This window comes from Homo sapiens, chromosome X (assembly GCF_000001405.40).
Source record: "Homo sapiens chromosome X, GRCh38.p14 Primary Assembly".
Classification (NCBI taxonomy): domain Eukaryota; kingdom Metazoa; phylum Chordata; class Mammalia; order Primates; family Hominidae; genus Homo; species Homo sapiens.
This window is the reverse complement of record NC_000023.11, coordinates 151892426-151912113: the sequence shown is the minus strand read 5'-3', so window position 1 is coordinate 151912113 and position 19688 is coordinate 151892426. Positions and strand designations below refer to the sequence as shown.

Below are 19688 nucleotides of genomic sequence, written 5' to 3'. Positions count from 1 at the left end.
TCTTCCTGGGTCCTGGCTCTTTGTTGAAGTGATGGGTTGGAGATGCTCTTTTTCTCTCACCTCTGAGCATTTGCCCAGCTGTACCCCTTGCAGAAAATGGCTGCGGGTACCAGGCGAGGTGTTCCCTGGGTGGCTGCAGCACCCGTTATTGTAGTGACCTCTGTGAGAAGATGCACGCCTTCCCACGGGGGCTCCTCCCCAGCCAGAGCTGGACTTTGGAAACCTTTTTTCCTCAAAGAAATATATTTTACATATCTTCCAAGGATATATATAGGTAGCAACATATATATTTATTTCTATGAAAGAATACCTACCCTTAGTTTGCATGATTCACTCTGATACCCTATTCAACTTCTATTCCATTGTTTATGTTCTGTTAAAATAATTCTTTTCGAGACCAGCCTGGCCAACAGGGTGAAACACTGTCTTCACTAAATATAGAAAAAAAATTAAAAAATTAGCTGGGCGTGGTGGTGGGCGCCTATAATCCCAGCTACTTGGGAGGCTGAGGCAGGAGAATCGCTTGAACCTGGTAGGCGGAGGTTGCAGTGAGCCAAGATCGAGTCATTGCACTCCAGCCCGGGCGACAGTCTCAATAATAATAATAATAATAATATTAATAATAATAATAATAATAATGCTAATCCTCATCCACTAAGTTGGTTTCAGGTTGTAATTAGCAGATCTCCGGAACCATACTGCCTTAACCAACCCAATTTTCCTGCTGTCCTGCTATTACCCTAGGGTTACTGGAATCGTGTTTTGAGGTGCTGCCTCAGATTGTGCAGTGCAGTGAGGTGGAGATTTTAAAATGTTCATCCTATTCATTCTGTCATCTGACGTCTAGGCAGGCTATAGACTTCAACATCCCTGCAGCCAACCCCCCTCCAACTGACACCGCCCCAAACATAAGTACCAGTTCAACACAGTCCTCAGTCTCACCCAGGACTTTCTGTGTTTTGTTGCTTAGATTTTATTGCTTATATTGTTGTTTTTTCTTTCTTTCTTTTTCTCTTCTATAATTTTCCAGAGTTGATTTGGGAACCAGAGAACAGCAGCCTAAGTGTGACTGTAATTTTTGGCAGCTACAGGTAAGACACTAAATTGTAAATCATTTAAGCAGAATTGACATTTTTACAATGTTCTGCTCCTGATCAATGAATAGGTTATGCTCCTTTACTTATTTCAAACTCCTTTTACCTGAATCTGTCAGTATACTTTGATAGTTTCCTCTAGAAAGACCTTACACATTTTTCTTAGGCTTCTTTTTTGGTAATTCTTGGATTTTGTTGCTATTGCAAATGGCATATTTTCTATTAATTGTTCTAATTAATGGAAATTAATTAACTCTAATAGTTATTGCTATTGTGTGGCAGAGAATTTGATTTTGCTATAGTAATCTGTTGTACACCTCATTCTGAAAACCCATTGACTTGAATATTCCACATGCCTTTTTCTTTGAATTTTCAAGAATGATAAGGGTATTATCACTAAACATTATGTATTTTTCCTATATTCATGCCCCTTATTTATTATGATACTTATAGCTCTGACTTTGTGTCTCAATGATGATTTAAAACGTAGAGATAATAGCCTACATCTACTTCGTGTTCCTGCCTTTAATGATAATTCTTTGAACTTCTTAAATTTGTTTGCTGTTGATTTTAGGAAATGTATGTTCTCTTTCAATATAGGTTAACTAAATATTTTTACCATGAACTCATATTGAATTTCTTCCAAAAGCTTTTCCTGTACCCATTGATGTGATAAATTTTTTCTCCTCTATTTTGTGTGTAAAAAATTACAATGAAACTTTTTTTTCTAATGTTAAATCATATTTTCTTTCCTTGGGTAGAGCTTGTTTGTTCATTTAATATTCTACTAATTTACATAAGATATTTGCTGCTATGTAAGAGAGCTTGTTTATGTGTTTTTTCCATCGGGAGTGGGGGGTGGTCCTCATCTGATTTTTGAATCCAGAAGGGTTAATCTGGGAGAATGAATTGAAGAATTGTCTATATTTTGCGTGCTTTGAAGAGTTGAGATAAGATGATGGTTAGTTTTCCTTGATCATTTGGTGGAATCAGCCTCCGAAACCGACTAACCTGGGACGTTTGAGGATGGCTTGAGCTTTGAATATTGTATAGTTTCAGTTTGTGTCGTTTAATTGAAGTTTTCTTTTTGGATCAATTTGGTCATTTGTTTATTTTATTTCTACAAAATAGTTGGATCATTTAGGATTTCATTTTTAATGGCATGATATTTATGACAAAAAACGTTTTTTTATCAGGGAAGCCTCACACATATAGAATAATAGAGAGACTAACATAATGAACCCAGCATACCTGACGCTCAGCATCAACAACCTTAAATACACGGCAAATCTGGTTCCAGTTAGACACTCACCTACCTGCATCTCAGCTGCTGGAATAATGTGGATCAAATCAAAGACAGCATACCATTTCATCTCTAAATAATTCAATATTCATTTTTAAAAGACAAGGACATTGTACCCAGCTGTACCCCTCGCAGAGAATGGCTGCAGGTACCAGGCGAGGTGTTCCCTGGGTGGCTGCAGCACCCGTGATTGTAGTCACCTCTGGGTCACAATCACTACAAATAAAAACCCAATACAATTCTCATTTCTAAAAAATAAATAAATGATTATGAAATGTTCAACTGTTTTATGCACTTATCTAGAAGACTTATACTTTATAAAAATTTGTTTATTTGGATGAGTACCCAAAAATAGTATTACATAGTGATTTTTTGTAATTAAATCTTCTCTCACCTGTAGGTCCCCTCCACATGATCTGTTTTCTTGCCATCGCTTCGTTGTTGGAAAGAAACATATCTTATGTTCTTTCCAGTTTTCCATAGTCTGGATTTGCAACACTGTAATGTCCTTTATCATATTCTCTAGCCCTTAATTTCTAGGGCTGCAAAATGGCCCAGGCTCGTCAGGTTTATGCCCTGCCCCAGTCATAAATAAGCCATTTCTCCAAATATCTGGTTCCTTTTAATGGGAAATGGTTCTAGAAATCTACTTCTGGGTGCTAGGTGTGCTCATTGCTACTTTTGCTTTTGGTGTTTAATTTAAAAGCTCTTTAACAAACAAAGTTATGTAAATTTTCTCATGTTTTCTTATAGAAGTTGTATAGTTTTTGCATTTTGCATTAGGTCTATGATGTATTTTGAGTTAATTTCGTGAAATACCTAAGGATTTGTCTAGGTTATTATTATTATTTTTGTTTAGATACCCAGTTGTTCATGTACCAATTGTTGGAACAACTATACTTTCACCTTTATTGCTTTTGTTATAAATCACTTGATTGTATGTGTGCAGGTCTATGTTGGGGCTCTATTCTGTTTTTTTAATCTACGTGTTTTTTAATCCATTCACCAAATGAAATACATCTTGGATGCCTCTGTTTTTGGTGATTATGAAATAAGCTATTGTATACATTAATATACAATTTCTTATGTAGATGTAAGTTTCCAAATTAGTTGGATCAATACCTAGGAGTAGGATTGCTGAATCTTATCGTAAGACTATGTTCAGTTTTTTAAGAAAATGCCAAACTGTCTTCCAAAGTGCCTGTACCATTTTGCATTTTCACCATCAATGAATGAGAGTTTCTGTTGCTCCATATCTTCATGGACTTTTTTTATTATTATTGTAGACATTCTAATTAGGTGTACAGTGGTACCTCATTTTAGTACACACTTCTCTAATGACAAAGGACGTTCAGCACTTTTATTATGCTTATTTGCCATCTGTATATCTTCTTTGGTGTAGTGTCTGTCCAGATCTTTGACTATTTTCATTTATTTCTATCATCGAGTTTTAAGAATTTGTGTATATTGTAGAGACAAGTTGTTTATCACTTATGTATACTACAGATGTTTTCTCCTAGTCTGTAGCTTCTGTTTTTATTCTATTCACACTGTCTTTTGAAGAGCATACTATTTTTATTTTAATAAAGTCCAACTTGGCAAATTTTTCTTTCATTGATGATGCTTTTGGTGTTGAATTTAAAAACTCACCACCAAACTGAAAATTATGTAGATTTACTCTTATGTTTTCGTATAGAAGTTGTATGGATTTTGCATTTTGCATTAGGTCTATGATGTGTTTTGAGTTAATTTTTTTTGAAATATGTAAGGATATGTCTAGGTTATTATTATGTGTGTATAGATGTCCAATGTTCAGGCAGCATTTGTTGGAAAAACTATACTTTTACCATTATTGCCTTTGTTGTAAATCACCTGACTTTATGTGTGCAGGTCTATTTCTGAGCCCTATCCTGTTTTATTAATCTATGTGTCTATTCTTTGCTAATGCTTATGTCCTCTGCCAAATTCATATTTTGAAGCTTTCGGCCCCAGTATTTCTGTATTTGGAGGTGGGGCCTTTAAGGAAGTAATGAATGTTAAAAGAGGTCATAAGGGTGGGGCCTTGATCCCATAGGATTAGTGTGCTTATGAGAAGGGACACAAGAAAGCACTCTTGTGCTTAAATGAGAACTCTCTCTCTCTCTCACCCTTCCTCCCTTCCTTCTCTCCATGCACATACACAGAAGAAATGCCAAGAATGGACATAATGAGAAAGGGCCATCTACAAGCCAGGAATAAGAAATTACAGCCTCCAGTCCTTTATCTGTGACTTTCAGTCTCCAAAACTCTGAAAAAAAATAAATTTCTGTTGTTTCAGCTACACAATCCATGGCATTTTGTTATGGAAGTCAAAGCTAACTAAGACATAACCCCAGGTAACAAGTTTTTCTTCTGTTTTCTTCTAGAAAAAAAAGTATTTTTGACATTTAGGGCTATGATTCATTTTGAGTTACACTTTTATATGGGGCAAGGCATGTGCAATGGTTAGTTTTATGGGTCAACTTGTCTAGACTATAGTACTCAGTTGTGCGGTCAAACACTAGTCTAGATGTTTCTGTGAAGGTATTTTGTAGATGTGATCAGCATTTAAAATCAGTTGATTTTAAATAAAGCAGTTTACCTCCATAATGTGGGTGTGCCTCATACAATCAGTTGAAGGTCTTAAAAGACCAAGGTTTTCTGGAGAAGGAATTCTACCACAAGATTGGAACATAAAAACGCTGTGTCAGTTTCTAGCCTGCTGGCCTGTCCTATAGATTTTGGATGTATCAGACCTCATAATCACCTGAGACAATTCCTTAAAATACCTTTATTTTTCTCTCTCCCTTTTTAGATAGATAGATAGATAGATAGATAGATAGATAAAGTATGGATTGAAATTTAGTTTTGCATATGGATATCCAATTGTTCCAGACCCAATTGTTGAATACACTATCATTTCTCCCCTCTAATCTTCATTTGCATCTTTATCAATAAATAGTTATCTATAGATGCATATACATGTTGATTCATTCCTGGAGTTTATTCTCTTCTGTTGATATATTGCTGTAATTATGACAGTCCCACACTATACTGATCATTGTTAGTTTATAAGCCTTGAAATGAAGTAAGGTAACGCCTCCAACTTTGTTCTATTTTTTAAAGTTTTCTTTGGCTATTCTAAGGCCCTTGCACTTCTATATGAATGTTAGAGTCAGCCTCCCAATTTCTATTTAAACATTTCTGGAATTTGATTTGGATTGCACTGAATCTTCCAAAAACCTTGAGGGAAAATGACATCTTAATATTCAGTCTTTTGACTAATGAATAAAGTTTATATCTCTATTTACTTAGTTTCTCATTAAATTTATCTCTGTAATGTTTTATAGTTTTCAGTGGACAGATCTTATACATCTTCTGTCATATTTATCCATTTAATGTTTATTTTAAATTGCATTGTTTTGTCTCAATTGCCAATTGCTCATTGCTAGTATAAAAATACAGGTATAATGATCTATATCCAGTGCCATTGCTAAACTCTTATTAGTTCTAGAAGCATTTTTAAGATTGATAGAATTATCTGCATATGCTCTTATTTTCTGTAAATAAAGACAGTTCTACTTGTCTTTTTCCAATCTGAAGGCCTTTTTTGAAAAAAAAAAAAAAAAACTTATTACACTGGACAGAACCACAGGCACAGTGTTGATCTATTCTACTCAACACCACCCTGTTCCATGAACTCATCAGTCTTAGGTTGTATTTTTCTACAATGCAAACATCCTGCATGATTTCTGACATGTGAAAATCTGCCTCATTCACCCTACACTGTTAAAATCCAAACATGGGTACTGCACCTGCTGAGATGAGCATGACCCCACAGTTGAAACAAGATTCATAAGATATCCAGTGGAGGAAGTGTATTCACTGAAGTTTGACAGCCTGAAAGCAGTGATTTCAGACTGGGGAAAACTGAAACCCCAGGAGACTTCTGTGGACACTGGGAAAAGGAAGTAAGATTGAAAAGTTCCCTGGTAGCAGCCAAGTGAGTGGTCTTCAAGATGTATAAGAGAAATTTTTAGGAGGGAAGTAGGGTGATTCACATTTACACATAGACTTAAATACAGCCAGATTATCTTGGAGAGATTTCTGGTAAAATACAATAATAATAATAATTTTTAAAAAACTAGATAATGGTGAATGGCAGGAGAAAACAGAAAGAAGCATTGAAATGGAGTGACCTGGGGGAAAAGCTTGGAGGAAATACTCTCTCCCTGCCATGTGACCCACCCCAGTTGAACATGGGAGGAAAGGAGCAGCACTATCTGTTTGGGAAAGCTCTTTAGCAGTTCTAAAGAAATGCCCCTCTTTTCTTCAACCAGACCACTCTGGCTTCCTCCTCATCCTCCCGTCCCCTCCTCGTCTTTCCTCCTCTCCTCCTCTCTCTCCTCGCCCCTCCCTCTCATGACAATGTCCTGAGGGCGGTTTGTGACATCTAAGACCTTCTCCACGACAGGGCAACCATTGGCTAGGTAGTAGCTTGCTGACCAATCAAAGCTCAGGGGTCTCGTTCGTCATTGTCCTGGGAGGGGTATGTATAGGGAGACCAGGCAGCCTGGAATAGACAATTGAGAGACGCTGGCGAAGATGACCAGGAAACGACGAGCCTCCAGCCCACTTTTGGAACAATCACCAGCCATCACCAAAATGGCGAGGAAGATGAAAGCCCCCTCTCAACCTAGATCCAGAAGCCCTATCAAGATAAATGAACCACCTAGCCTCCTCCCTTTCTTGACCCTGACTCTTCCCTCCCAAGACTCCTACCCTGTCCTCACCTAGCACAACCCTCACCTCAGCCCATGCCTTTCTCATGAAGCCCCTGTTCCCGCCCCTTCTCCATCCTCTTTCCCCAAACCAATGCCCTTCTGAGATCTCCCTGTTGTCATTCCAGATTCCCAAGACAACTAGGAAGGGAAAAGGAACCCTTCAAGGAAGTTCCAGGAAAAACGTCTCTCCCAAAAAGACCACCGCTTCAGGAAAACCTGAGGAAGGGAGTGGGCCAACAGTATCCTGCCACTGTGACCAGCTGAACGAGGAACTCCATCAAAATGAGCCACAGCTGGACCAAAACAGTGAGGAGACCTCCACCTTCTTCAGTGTCTCCCTGAGCAGTCAGTAATTTCAGGGCAAGCTGAGAGGTCTCCAGAGGTCTAACCCCAGATAAATAGCCAACAGGGTCTAGAGTACATTTTATACCCAACAGGGTATACCCCATGGTGATCAAAATAAAATAAACCTGTTGTAAAATGATGTGTGGGTCTGTGTGCTCTCTGATGGTGGGGAGGGAGGAAGGAGGGAAGAGGTGGGAGTTTGGGAAGGGATGGGGGTGGGGTCCTTCTTTAAATTCAACTCGTTCTTCTTTCTTTGGTTTCCTAGTGTGGATGTTTTGGTTATTGATTTTAGATACTATTTTCTAATATAAACATTTAAAATATGCTATAAATTTCCCTCAAGGAAATACTTTAGCTGAATCCCACAAATTTCTGTACATATAATTTTATTTTCATTCGACTTGATGTATTTTTAAAATTCTCCTAAGACTCCCTCTTTGGTTCATAGGGCATTTAGGAGCATATTTTAAAATTTCCAATATTTGGGCATTTTTCAGACATCATGGTGTTTGATTTTGAGCTTAATTACATTATGGTCTAAGAAGATGCTTTATATTACTTCTATTCTTTTCAATTTGTAGGGTTTGTTTGATGGCCTAGAATACCATATACCTTGGTAAATACTTCATGCACACTGAAGAGGAATGCTTATTCTGCTATTGTTGGATGCGTTTTTTTTTTTTATTTTAATTAGGTCAGAGTAGTTAATGGTGCTGTTCAGGTCATGTATTTCCTCCCTGATATAAGTTTTCTGCTTACTTTTTCTCTAAAATACTGAGAAACAATGCAGAGTTTTGAAAAATATATAGTCCCAAGAAACCACAACCACAGTGAAGGTGCAAAATATATTCATCATCCCCAAAAGTTTATTCCTATTATTTTGCTGTCAAACCATCCCTTCAGTAAAAGTGACCCGCATTGAGCTGAAGTGAGCATCTGCCAACCATGAACACTTTCCCTTACAACAGAGGCAGGTAGGCACAGAGAGGGGCAGTTATTCTCACACACAGGCAGTATCCAGGAAGAAAACCAGATCGGTAGTGTCATAGAAGGCCAGCTTGCTGGCCTGGTCACAGGACGTCCCTCCCTTTCTTGTGCACTGCCTGCCTCCAAGTCTGGCTCTGCCTTCCTGGCCTCCCTGGCTCAGATGAGTGACTCATCCCTCTGCAGTTATGATCCAGGAATTTCAACCTTGTCCAACTCCCAGCTGCTTCCTTAGCATGACCCAAGTACTGCTTCCTGACTAAGGCAGAATATCTAGTCTGCTTTATACACCAGACATGTGGACTTTGGTCCTAAAGGTTTCCTGAGGAAGGCACATCAAGCGCAAAGGCAGTAACCTTTTATTTCCTCACCCAAGTGCCACATGGGAACCACAAGTGACAGGCTGTTTGACATCTTGTAGTCACACTCTGAGCACTGGGGTGTTGCAGACAAAAGTCTTGGTAAGCCTGGTGAGGAAGATATTTTTCCACTAGTTTCTCTGGCACTCTCTTTTCCAGCAGCCCCTAAGCCCACTGCCAAATGCAAGAGTCTCATGCTCTGCCACATTGCAGCTCAGCCACAGTGATCCTCTCGGCACCATGGGGATTAGGAACACAATGTGGTGAGGCACTTATAGATGACAGTCTAACAGCTTGCTCTATTCCCATATTTCTGCTAAAAACTGAGTCCCCAAGGGGGGACTAAGACATTGAAGCTAACACGTTACGGTTTCCCAAGCTCTTTAATATATAGTATTGGAAGAAAGGCAAAAGGAGGCTCCTATTTCCATTCTTGGAAGTCAGAATCCTGGAGTTCTACTTGGTAAAGTGTCTTGCCCAGGGTAAGGGGCTTTTGATGTTTCCACTGCCCTGTGAAACCTTTTCCACAACTGGCATAGGGGCTCAGTTGGGCCAGCCAGAGCTCTGCTCCTGAGCAGCTGTGAGTATCCCGTGTTCTTTACAAAGAACACTGTACAGAGCAAGGAATATCTGTTACTGCCAAGTAGAATAGCTGGCAGAACCAGCAAGAACCTTAGAGGTCCTCATTCTATGGAGGAAACTGAAGACCAGAGACAACAGGATCTTGTCGAAGATCACAAGCAAATTCATCAATGGCAGAGCTGAGCTGCTATTGCCTGGCAGGCTTGGGATCATCCAGGGAAAATGTGGCTGTTCCCTGTGGTTTCACCTGCCTATGTGTGCCTCTAAGAGTGTGCCACTATTCTTTCATTGCCCCTCCCTCTGTCTGCATAGGCTATGTGGATTGTCCTGCCAGCCTCTCTCCACCCCTGCAGGGTCAGTGCCACTGGTTACTACAGTTCAGTGGCCAGGCAGAGGACCTTGTGGTCTCATAGACCCCCAGATGACTGGAGGGGGAATACCCTGAGAAGTCCCAGGATCAGCCTTTGTCTTCCTGATGGAGAGCCCCACTCATCACTTCTCCTGCCTCTGGCCTCTCACTGACTTGGCTTGAATCCGTCACTCCTGCTCCAGCCCAGGCCATGTTTTCCCTGCCTTCTATGCCTCTGGGGATTTATTCATAGCACTTCCATCCTCCTCTCTCAGACTCATCTTTCCTTACCACCAAAAGCCACAAGGTGGGAGGCTGGGCCCTCTTCTCAGTGTTTCTGTGGACTTCATGAGTCTTCCCAAAAGTTTTGAGAGGTCCAGGTTACCATGCTCAGGAATAGAGGCTAGAAAAGTGAAGTAACTTGCTGCAAGTCACACAGACACTAAGGAGTAAAGCCAGGATTGGAACCATAACTTGGATTTCAAAGCCTGGGCTCCTGCCACTGCACATGAGCCTCCCTCTCTAGGTGGCCTGGAGTCTCCTGCTAGGAGTGAAGAAGCAATTGTGGCATCATGGTGATGGGGCAAAATGAGAATCAGAATACCTCGATCGATTCCAGTTCCAGCTTGGCCCCTTGCTGCCTATGCAGCCTTGCCATAGCCACCTCATCTTTCTGGGCCTTGGTTTCCCAGCTATATAGTGTGGACTACCCTGCAAATCCTTTCTAAACTTCGGTCAGTCAACATATGTTTAGCGCACACCGATTTTGTGCTAGATTGTTCCAGGCACTAGGGGACAGTTACATAAAGTCTCAAGGAGCTCATAGTCTATTGAGGGCGGAGGGTTAGAATACATAAATAAATGACCAAAGTAGATTATTCGTTGTTTGCTGAGTGCTACAAAGGAGATTCACTAGGAAAAGCGGTGGGAAGTGCTGGGGGTGGGGGGCTGCTTTAGCGAGGATGCTAGGAGCTTAGGGTTCGCATGTGGCTCTAGCAGAAAAGCACATGTGGAAATGCTCAGCACACCAGGCCATAATGCAAGAAGGGCAGGCCAGTTGGCCTCTTACCTTCAGATCCTCATATCCCATTCTCAGTCCTAGCCATCTGCTCCTACTTCCTGGTCTTCAACTTGCCCTGGCTTGAATCCCTTGCTCCAGCTCCAACTCGGGCCCTATTTCTCCGTCATCCATGCCTCCGGGGCTTTCTTTGTAACACTTCCATCCTCCTCTCTCAGACTCATCTTTCTTTAGCATTGTCTGAGGTGCACCTACTGGGAGAAACCTGCCCCTCTCCAGCTCCTTCTGAGGCCTCACATATATGTCTTCTTATGCTCTGGCCTACAGGATGTGATTCTGTGTAAGAATAGCTCTTAGCATGCGGATACTTCACTTAGCCCACCAGACAGGATCTCAGAAGGCTATGACTGCTTCAGAACCATTTTGGTGGCTCCTAACGTTACCCAGCATGCTGCTTGGCACAGAGGAGGAGTGGTGCTCAGTTTTTGTTGTTTGACACTGTCCATAGTGGCAGCAAGGCTTACAAGCTCTTAAACTGAAGGCTTTGTAAAGCCTGGCACTGCCAGGGTAGAGACAAGCAGAGGCTGGTGGTAGGGAGAAAGGGAATATAGGAGAAGAGAGCACTGGGTTTGTCCAAAATCACTGAGATAGAAGACCTAGAACCTTCCTTCATGAAATACTCTTTTCTCTATGTTCTCACAGATCACTTTCTTCTGACTCTCTTCTCATTACCGGCTGATCCCCCTCAGTTTTCTCTGTCCAACCATTAAGTGTGGGTGCTCCTCAGGACTGTGCCCCAAACCCTCCCAGCTTCTCCTCTCTGTCATCATACACTCCCTGGCTAATATTATTCATTCTCTCTCTCCAGCCTCGTCTCTCTCCTGAGCTTCTGAGCTAAGTATATGGTTGTTTCCCAGGTCCCTCTACCTGGAGGCCTAACAGGCATCTCAGCCTCAATAAGACCCAAACCAGCCTCATCTCCTACACTCCCACACAAGAGTACCATGATTAATCCAGCAGTCATCAGAATTGGAAATAAGTGCTCACCACGCCACCTATTTCACTTCTAAATAACTTCTAACTCCATCTTCTCATCTCCATCTCCACTGCCACCATCTTGATATAGGCCCTTATGCTGGTCCATTTGCCCTCAGAGCTATTCATCACCCTTCCTCTGCTCAACTCTGTTTTTCAGGCTGCATTTTCTAATCTCTTGTGCCTCTTGGAGGGAGATTGGAGGGTGAGAGGAAGGGGGAAACCAGGAGGGTATATATTTTGTTCCTCTCTCTGCCTTAAACTGCATCCGTCTCCCCTGTGATTCCATTTCCCACCAACAGACACTCCATGATTCCAGTTTCCACCAGGTGACCCTGTCCCAGGATTCTGGAAACCCTGGTTCCATTCTTTGTCTCTCCAGCCAAGGGCTGGTAGTGATTTCCTGCTGTTACTTATCTCTGGGTTGACTCATCGTATGCAATTTGGCTCATCAGTAATTCCATCTCCTATGTAACTAGTTCCCTGCATTACATTTATCCTCTAAAAAAAAATTGGAATGGCTTCTCTTTCCCTGGTTGAACCCTGACTGATATAGCCCTTATTACTTCTAGCCTAGCTTATTGTAACAGCTTTTTAGTAAATCATCCTGATTCTAGTCCTATTTCTCTCTAATGTTCTCTTAACCCTGCAGACGGAGAAATATGCCTTACGATAACTTTTCATAAAACTTTTCAAGAGCTCCCCATTGCCTAGAAGATGTAGTCCTTACCTTGGCTTGCAGTCTAATGGTGGGATGGATGGGAGAGGAGACCGTTGCCAGTGTTTGGTTACCAGATAGGGGCCAGGGCAGCAAGTGAGGGATTTCCCTTAGCTACAGACTCAGTTTCAGATTCCGTCCTCACAGAAGGGAAGGTGAGCTCCCAAAAATAGCCTTGGTGAGTAATAAAGATTTCAAGACCCCCTGACTGATCCAGACCAACCAATTGGAAGCTCCTGCTTCATCCACTTGCTACATTTACAGGACATTCCTGTCACAACAGAGGACCAAAGTATACCTGGCAAATAAGCTCAGGAGAGTATTTTCTTTACATAGTTCTCCTGGCTTAAAAATTGAATTTGTAAAAATTTTTAAAGAACTTTGATACAATTGGATTTTTTAAAGATCAGGGTGTCAGGGCTCAAGGAAAATAAAAATTAGAAGAAAAAAGATGGAGCCAGGGATAAGTTTGTGCAAACCACGCATGCTGTGGGATTCTGTACTTTTGGCTTAGCCTGGAATTTTTTAGCAGCCGGTTCTAGGAGAAAAACTCTCCTTTACATGATCCTCAGGGTTCGAAAGACAAAAACCAACCGCTGGCTCATAGAAGCAAAACTATTTCACGTAATACATGAGAAAGAAATTGCTTCTAGGGATCTTCATAAAGAGGACAAGATGGACTTAGTGAACAACATCCTCAACAACATTTTCGAAGTTCTAAGGGAGGCTTCTGTCAGAATTAGAGAACATTTCCCTGGGTTCATGGTTTAAGTGTATATGCTGTTGGGGAGAAGAGGATCTGGAGTTACATTTTATCTGCTTTGTATTATTTTTGCCATTGTTTCCTCAGACTCCTGTACTGTAATACTTACTGAACTTGTGATGACCTAGAATTCTTCTACCTTTGCCTCTCCCTTGATTAATATACCAGGTCTATGTCATGTGGACATTTACTAATCCATCCAGCAACCACTTATGGATAACCTACTGAACTTCCAGTACTACAGTGGTGAAGAGGATTGATACAGCTTCTGCCACTAGGAAATTGAAAATGTAGTGTGGGGAGACAGATGATAAATAAGCCAACAGATAAATAAAGTAAACAAAAATATTGATAATGATGATGGCTTGCAGGAAATAAAACACAGTAATGGGATAATGTTTGGGGTAGGGGGATGCTAATTTGTATAAGATGGTTAGGAAAGGACTTTCTCCAGGGTTAAAAGTTGAGCTCATACTTGAATAATGTGAAGGAAGAAACCATACAAAGTTCTTGGATGAAAGTAATTCAAGAAAATGAGACAATCAGTGTAAAGGCCTTGAGGTTGAAAGCAGCTTATTCAAAGAACAGGAAATAGATCAGTATAACTGGAAGGAGTAAAGCAAGGAAAATGGTAAGAGATGCAAACAGGGAGGTAGTCAGGGGCCAGATTATGCAGGACCTTTGTAAGTCAATCAATTAATAACTTGGAATGAATTAGTAGTGAGGCCAGAGATGAAAGGGTGACCTAGAGACACTGTATGTGCAAAGGTATACAGTAAAGTTTTGTACCTTCAGTGCTTTTCTAAAAAACGTCAGAAAATGTTGAGAATTCACAAGAAGATAGAGGGGACACCCCAGGAATCACATATGCAATGTAAAGGTAAAGTTCACTCTGGCAGCAGTTGATTTTTCTCTTCTCTCCTAGAAATGTAATGCGAGTTATTACAGTGTTGGCATGAGGTTAAACCTGGAAAGGGCTATAAAATGTTATGACAGGGAAAGGAAGTTTTCTCTTTCTTATATGGGTTATTTACAGAATTTCTCTTTTGGAGATAGATTGGAGACATTGCCCAAGCTCCCATGACATTCATCCAGAGAAAGCGAAATCAATAACATGGCCAACAAATCTGTGAGTCAGAGTTGCATTTTCTACTTTTAAGTTACCTACAGACTCCAAAGTGCCACTGATACTAAAATGAGTATGTTACAATCAATAACCCATACCTTGGTAGGCCACTTCTTGTGGTGTAGTTGCAATAGTTAAGAGAAAAAATAATGAGAACCTAGACTAATATAATGGCAATGGGGATGAAAAGCTAGGGATCGACTTGAGAAATGTAAATCAAACAAAAATCAGCAGGATATGGAGATTAGTTGGATAACTCCCAAAGTCACTACATCGGTGACTGTGAGGATGATGCAATCATTCACTGAAATAGGAAACACAGGGAAGCAGTTAAGTTGCATGGGGTAGGGTAAGGATGAGGTGGTGAGTTCAGTTTGGCTCTGCTGCCTTTGAAATGCCTGTGGGATGTGCAGTTAGAGATGTTGTGTGGATAGTTTGTTATATGCATTACGAAGTCAGGAGAGCTATGAGCTCCAAGTAAAAGTTTTTGTGGGGAGAAGTGTCTTGAGCTTAGAGGTGGTGGTTGGAACCTTGATAGTGGAGAAGACTGTCCAGGGAAAAAGTTATAGCCTTAAGAAAGGAACCCTGGGTTGTGTAATATTTGACAGATAGTTAAAGAAGTGGCAACCCCAAAGAGAATGAGGAGAGAAATCGTAAGTCAAAGAAGTAGAGTGTTTCCAGAAAGGCATGGCCAACAGTCTTCAGTGTTACTAAGGGGTCAAGTAAAAACAGGACTGAGACTTAATGATGGATTTAGCAATCTGGATGTCATTGCTGACCTTGACGTGAGTGGTTTTCTGTGGAGTAGTGAGTAGAGGCCAGAGCAGTAGAGTAGATTAATAAGCAAGTGGGAGGTTGGTAAGGGGTGGAAACAATAAGCATACATGTCTCTTTCCAAGAGTTTGACAGTGGTGGAGGGAGTGGGGGAAAGATATGGTGGTTGGAAGATAACATGATTGTATATGCATATCCAAACTCACCAAATTGTATGCATTAATTACGTGCCGTAGTGCAGTTTTTCTGTACACTAATTATACATCAATAAAGCTGGATTTAAAAAGAAAAACTATAGGCCATAGGTTTATGAGTTTTAAAAAATAATTATGAGAATCTTTTTTTCTTTTATACTGCAGCAATTTGAATGTGTTTTCAAGTTTGGAGAAGACCTTAGAGAAAAGGAGCATGAAGGAGCAGGAGAGAAAAGGAAAAAGCGATGAGGAGACAGAAGGGGACATATTAAGGACTTAGGGGTATGAGTGTGGGAGAAATGCTTACCTTTAACAGAAGGAGAGACCCCTCTGAGCCTGGAGGTGAAGTGGTCAGAGAAGACTCATACATCGATAGCAGGGCAGAGTCAGGGAGTTAAGAGATTTAATTTCTGATGGCCTCCATGTTTTCAAGGAAGTAAGAGCAAAGTTGTTTTCTATAGGCAAGAAACATGACAATATTTAGGAGGCTTGAGGAAAGCAGAAAGTGTTTATTTTAGTGACTGGTGAATGTAAACATTCGAGAAGTCTTGCTGGCCAGTTTCTTTGCAGTCGTACAAGACTTTTTGAGCTTGCCACTCATTTACAACTTAACTGTCCAGCCTTATCTGCTGGATGAAAACTGGAGGAGAAGGTCACTATGGCCATGGAAAAATATTCCCTTGCAGCAGTGATTGCTCAGTTGAGGACAAACCCTGATTTATAATGAGGCTAATCATGGTTGTGTGATTTGCCCCCGCTAGCCTCAGAGCTGGGTCTAAAAGAAAAGAAATAGGATTATGGATTATTAGTTCATCCAGGGATATGATTTTGTTGAGTGGATGCAGGAGAAAGAGATAAATGCACAAGGATCAAGAGTTCTGGGGACAAAGTTGTTCCACTGATCCATCATGTATTGGGGGACTGGCTTGGGATGAAAGGAACAGAGGCTTGAAGGAACCTGCTGCACTGGGATTAAAGGGATGCACCCCGTGGCCGAAGAACTGTCTGAGGTCAAAGAGAAGTGACTTCAGTGGGATTGAGTTCAAAGGATAGGGGCACATGATCAGGGGATGTGATCTGAGGTCTGGTGGGGGTAACTTAGCTGGGGTTTCAGCATCTGAGCTTTTGGATAATTCTCCGCATCTGTCTGCTCATTGACATTGGCTGACAGCTTCCTGGAGGCCTGCCTCAGGAAAAGTTGGCAGCAGAGAGTGGATGAGTGAACTTGGAAAATTCCAATTCTTTTTGAGATGGAGAAGGGGTGCTAATACTTTGGACCCAGGAGAACTAAATGGAAATAATATTTTCAAATGGAAAAGGCACCACAAATGACTAATTAGAAAGAAGACTTTTTTGTCTCCTGGACCAACTGAGAAATGCATGTGATTTGGAGCATAGTGACTTTTTCAATCTCTTGGAAATGGCTGTGGCTTTTCCTATGTATAATGGCATTAATTAAGCTAAAATTGCTTCCATTCTCTAAAAATATATGAATACAATAAGAAAAGACATTGGCCAAATTAACAGAAACCTGAGGATTTAGTGGAAATGATTTGTGTTCTTTATGAACTTGGATCAGAGTTGGATTAAACAAGTCAGATGCAAAGTTCTAGGACAGACTGGCTTGATGATGTAACAAGCTGGCTTTGGTCACTGGCTGGCCGACTTCAGCCAAGGAGCCAGCTCTGAGGGCACTTGGCTTTATATTGGCTGTGAAACCCCACAGCCATGGCACCCGCTGCTTGGTCCTGATGGGACAGACATGATCGGGAGACCAGGCGGAATCTGTCAGCCAGCTGCTCTCCTAGGCTGCTCTGAACAGTCTGAGTATCCCATTCTTCGTGAGCATTTGAACCTGTTCTGACCTTTAGGCTCGTTCCTGTAATAGACAGAAGATCATGAACGCTCTGTTTTCTTTTAGTTATTACTCTCCTTCTATCAAATCTCACAGTGCTTCTCACATTTTAATCATCATAAGAAACACCTGGGGATCTTATTCAATGCAGATTTTGACTCAGTAGGTCTGGGTTGGGATCTGAGATGTTGCAAAGTATCCTGATGCTGATGGTCTGGGGGCTACACTTTGAGAAGCAAGGCTCTCAACCAGGACTTTCCCCAAGAGAGCATTCCCTACTCACCTTGTTAGTGGGCATTTACTGAAAATCCCCCATGCACCAATCACTGTGCAAAGCACTGGGGTCTGGGGTCGGGGGGATAAGAAGAAGATAAAGAGAATACATAAGGAACAAGACACAGTTCCTGCCCAAAACAGAATAGGTGATGATACTGTACTCATGCCTGTAATCCCAGCACTTTGGGAAGCCGAGGCAGGTGGATCACCTGAGGTCAGGAGTTCGAGACCAGCCGGGCCAACGTGGTGAAACCTCGTCTCTACTAAAAATACAAAAATTAGCCGGGCATGGTGGTGCATGCCTGTAATTCCAGCTACTCAGGAGGCTGAGGCAGGAAAATAGCTTGAACCCTGGAAGCGGAGGTTGTGGTGAGCTGGTATCACGCCACTGCACTGCAGCCTGGGTGACAGAGTGAGACTCCACCTCAAAAAGAAAAAGAGAAAAAGAAAGATAGACAGGGGATTGGGGGAACACAGAGAAGAAAATAATCTGCTAAGATTTTTCAGAAGAATTCACAGAGGAAGTGACATTGAGATGGGTCTTGAAACCTGAGTTGGAGGGCACCAGGCAAAGAGATGCAGAGACTTTTCCAGCAAAGGGAGAAGCTTGTAGAAAGGCCTAGAAATGTGCAGCATGTTTGAGCAATGGCAATAAGTCCAATGTCACCAGAGTCCCAGGTGGCCGGTGGTGAAGAGTGGCAGTAGATGAGGCTCACCAGCTAAGTTTTAAGTGAGAGAAAAGGTCACAGAGGCCTTGGTTACCCTGCTAAGAAGTTGCTCAGCAAACTTATTTGCCTGTTTACACTTATCAGCTAAACAAAAGGTCAGGCAGGTAGACTGGGCAGGCAGATATCTCAGAATAACAGTAACTTCCTATGGAACATCCACAAATGCTCCTGCCTCCTAGACTGGGCTAGGCCTCCCCTGGGAGGAAAGCGTTGGCAGAGCCTGCAAAGGGGCAAAGCCTTTTGATAGCCATCATTGGAACCAAATTAATGTGCTAATTGCTAACAGGACGTATTTGTGCATCAGAGTCAGCATCAAGGCTCTAGGCTACTACTTTGTGTCTGATTTGCTGTGAGAATCCATGTGCTTTATGTAATGAAAATAATTGTCTACTTTTCTTTAAAGACTGTATATAATTGGGCCTTTAACAAATTTATACAGGCTCTGTTTCCCACTGACTGCCATCACAGCACAGCCAAGTTCCATCGGTACAATGAGGGGACTGAAACCTGTTAGCCTTCTCTAGTTTAGCAGGGTAAGGACAGCAAGGGGAAAGATAAAGAGAGAGAGACAGAGACAGATACATAGAGACAGAGATAGGGAGGCACAGATATAGAGGGAGAAATGGAGGAAAGAAGGAAGGGAAGGAAGAAGAAAGGGAATAAAAAGAAAAATGACATTTAAAAATTAAATTTAGAAAAAGACATTTAAAAGACAAAGCACATAGGTAGCTATCACCATGGGCAAAACCAGAACTGTGTCGAACATTATTACGCTCAATTTATGGTTTACACAGTAGCAAAACCATTAATTTTAATTGCATATGAGAGAGTGGCATAACCTTTTTCTAGTTTAGGCCCTTTTAAGCTTATAATCAGGCCCTGTTCTGGGGAATTTAACCATCTGGAGCATGAGTATATGAGGTATGGGTGTGAGGCTGAGCTGGCCTGAATGGTCCAGCCATCAGCACTGAATATTTGGTCACTCCCATTCAGTTTCACCCCAACAATAAAATTACCCACCAGGATGAAAGTTTCCATCCTTACTTACAAACTAACTTTATTGGATTTAGTTGCGTTTGGTCATATACCCTTTTTTCCACTAGCTGCATGAGGCTAAATAACTTACTTGATTAAGTTCTCCATGATTATCCAATTTCTCTGGGCATAATGCAGCCATCTTACATGACCAGAAGTGAGCAGGCAAGTGATGAGCTGCTTATTCTAACTTCTCATTCTAAATGACTGTGAGGATGCTGGCTAACACCCTCTGGATTCATTACTGGGTCTGGGTAATTTGTCCATAGTGTCCTGTGGAATTTGGCTACTAACCTCTGTGCCTCATGAGGAATGGCAGAGCTGGCCGGAGAAAGGGAAAAGAAGGGA

At 41.4% G+C, this 19688-nt stretch overlaps 1 long non-coding RNA gene across 1 annotated transcript; it reads left to right on the top strand.

Moving 5' to 3' along the window:
• Positions 1031-7683, top strand: MAGEA4-AS1 (MAGEA4 antisense RNA 1). The gene is made up of 2 exons (NR_136578.1): positions 1031-1091; positions 7325-7683. It is a non-coding gene; the product is annotated as an MAGEA4 antisense RNA 1 (long non-coding RNA).
• Positions 7684-19688: the final 12005 nt, after the last annotated feature.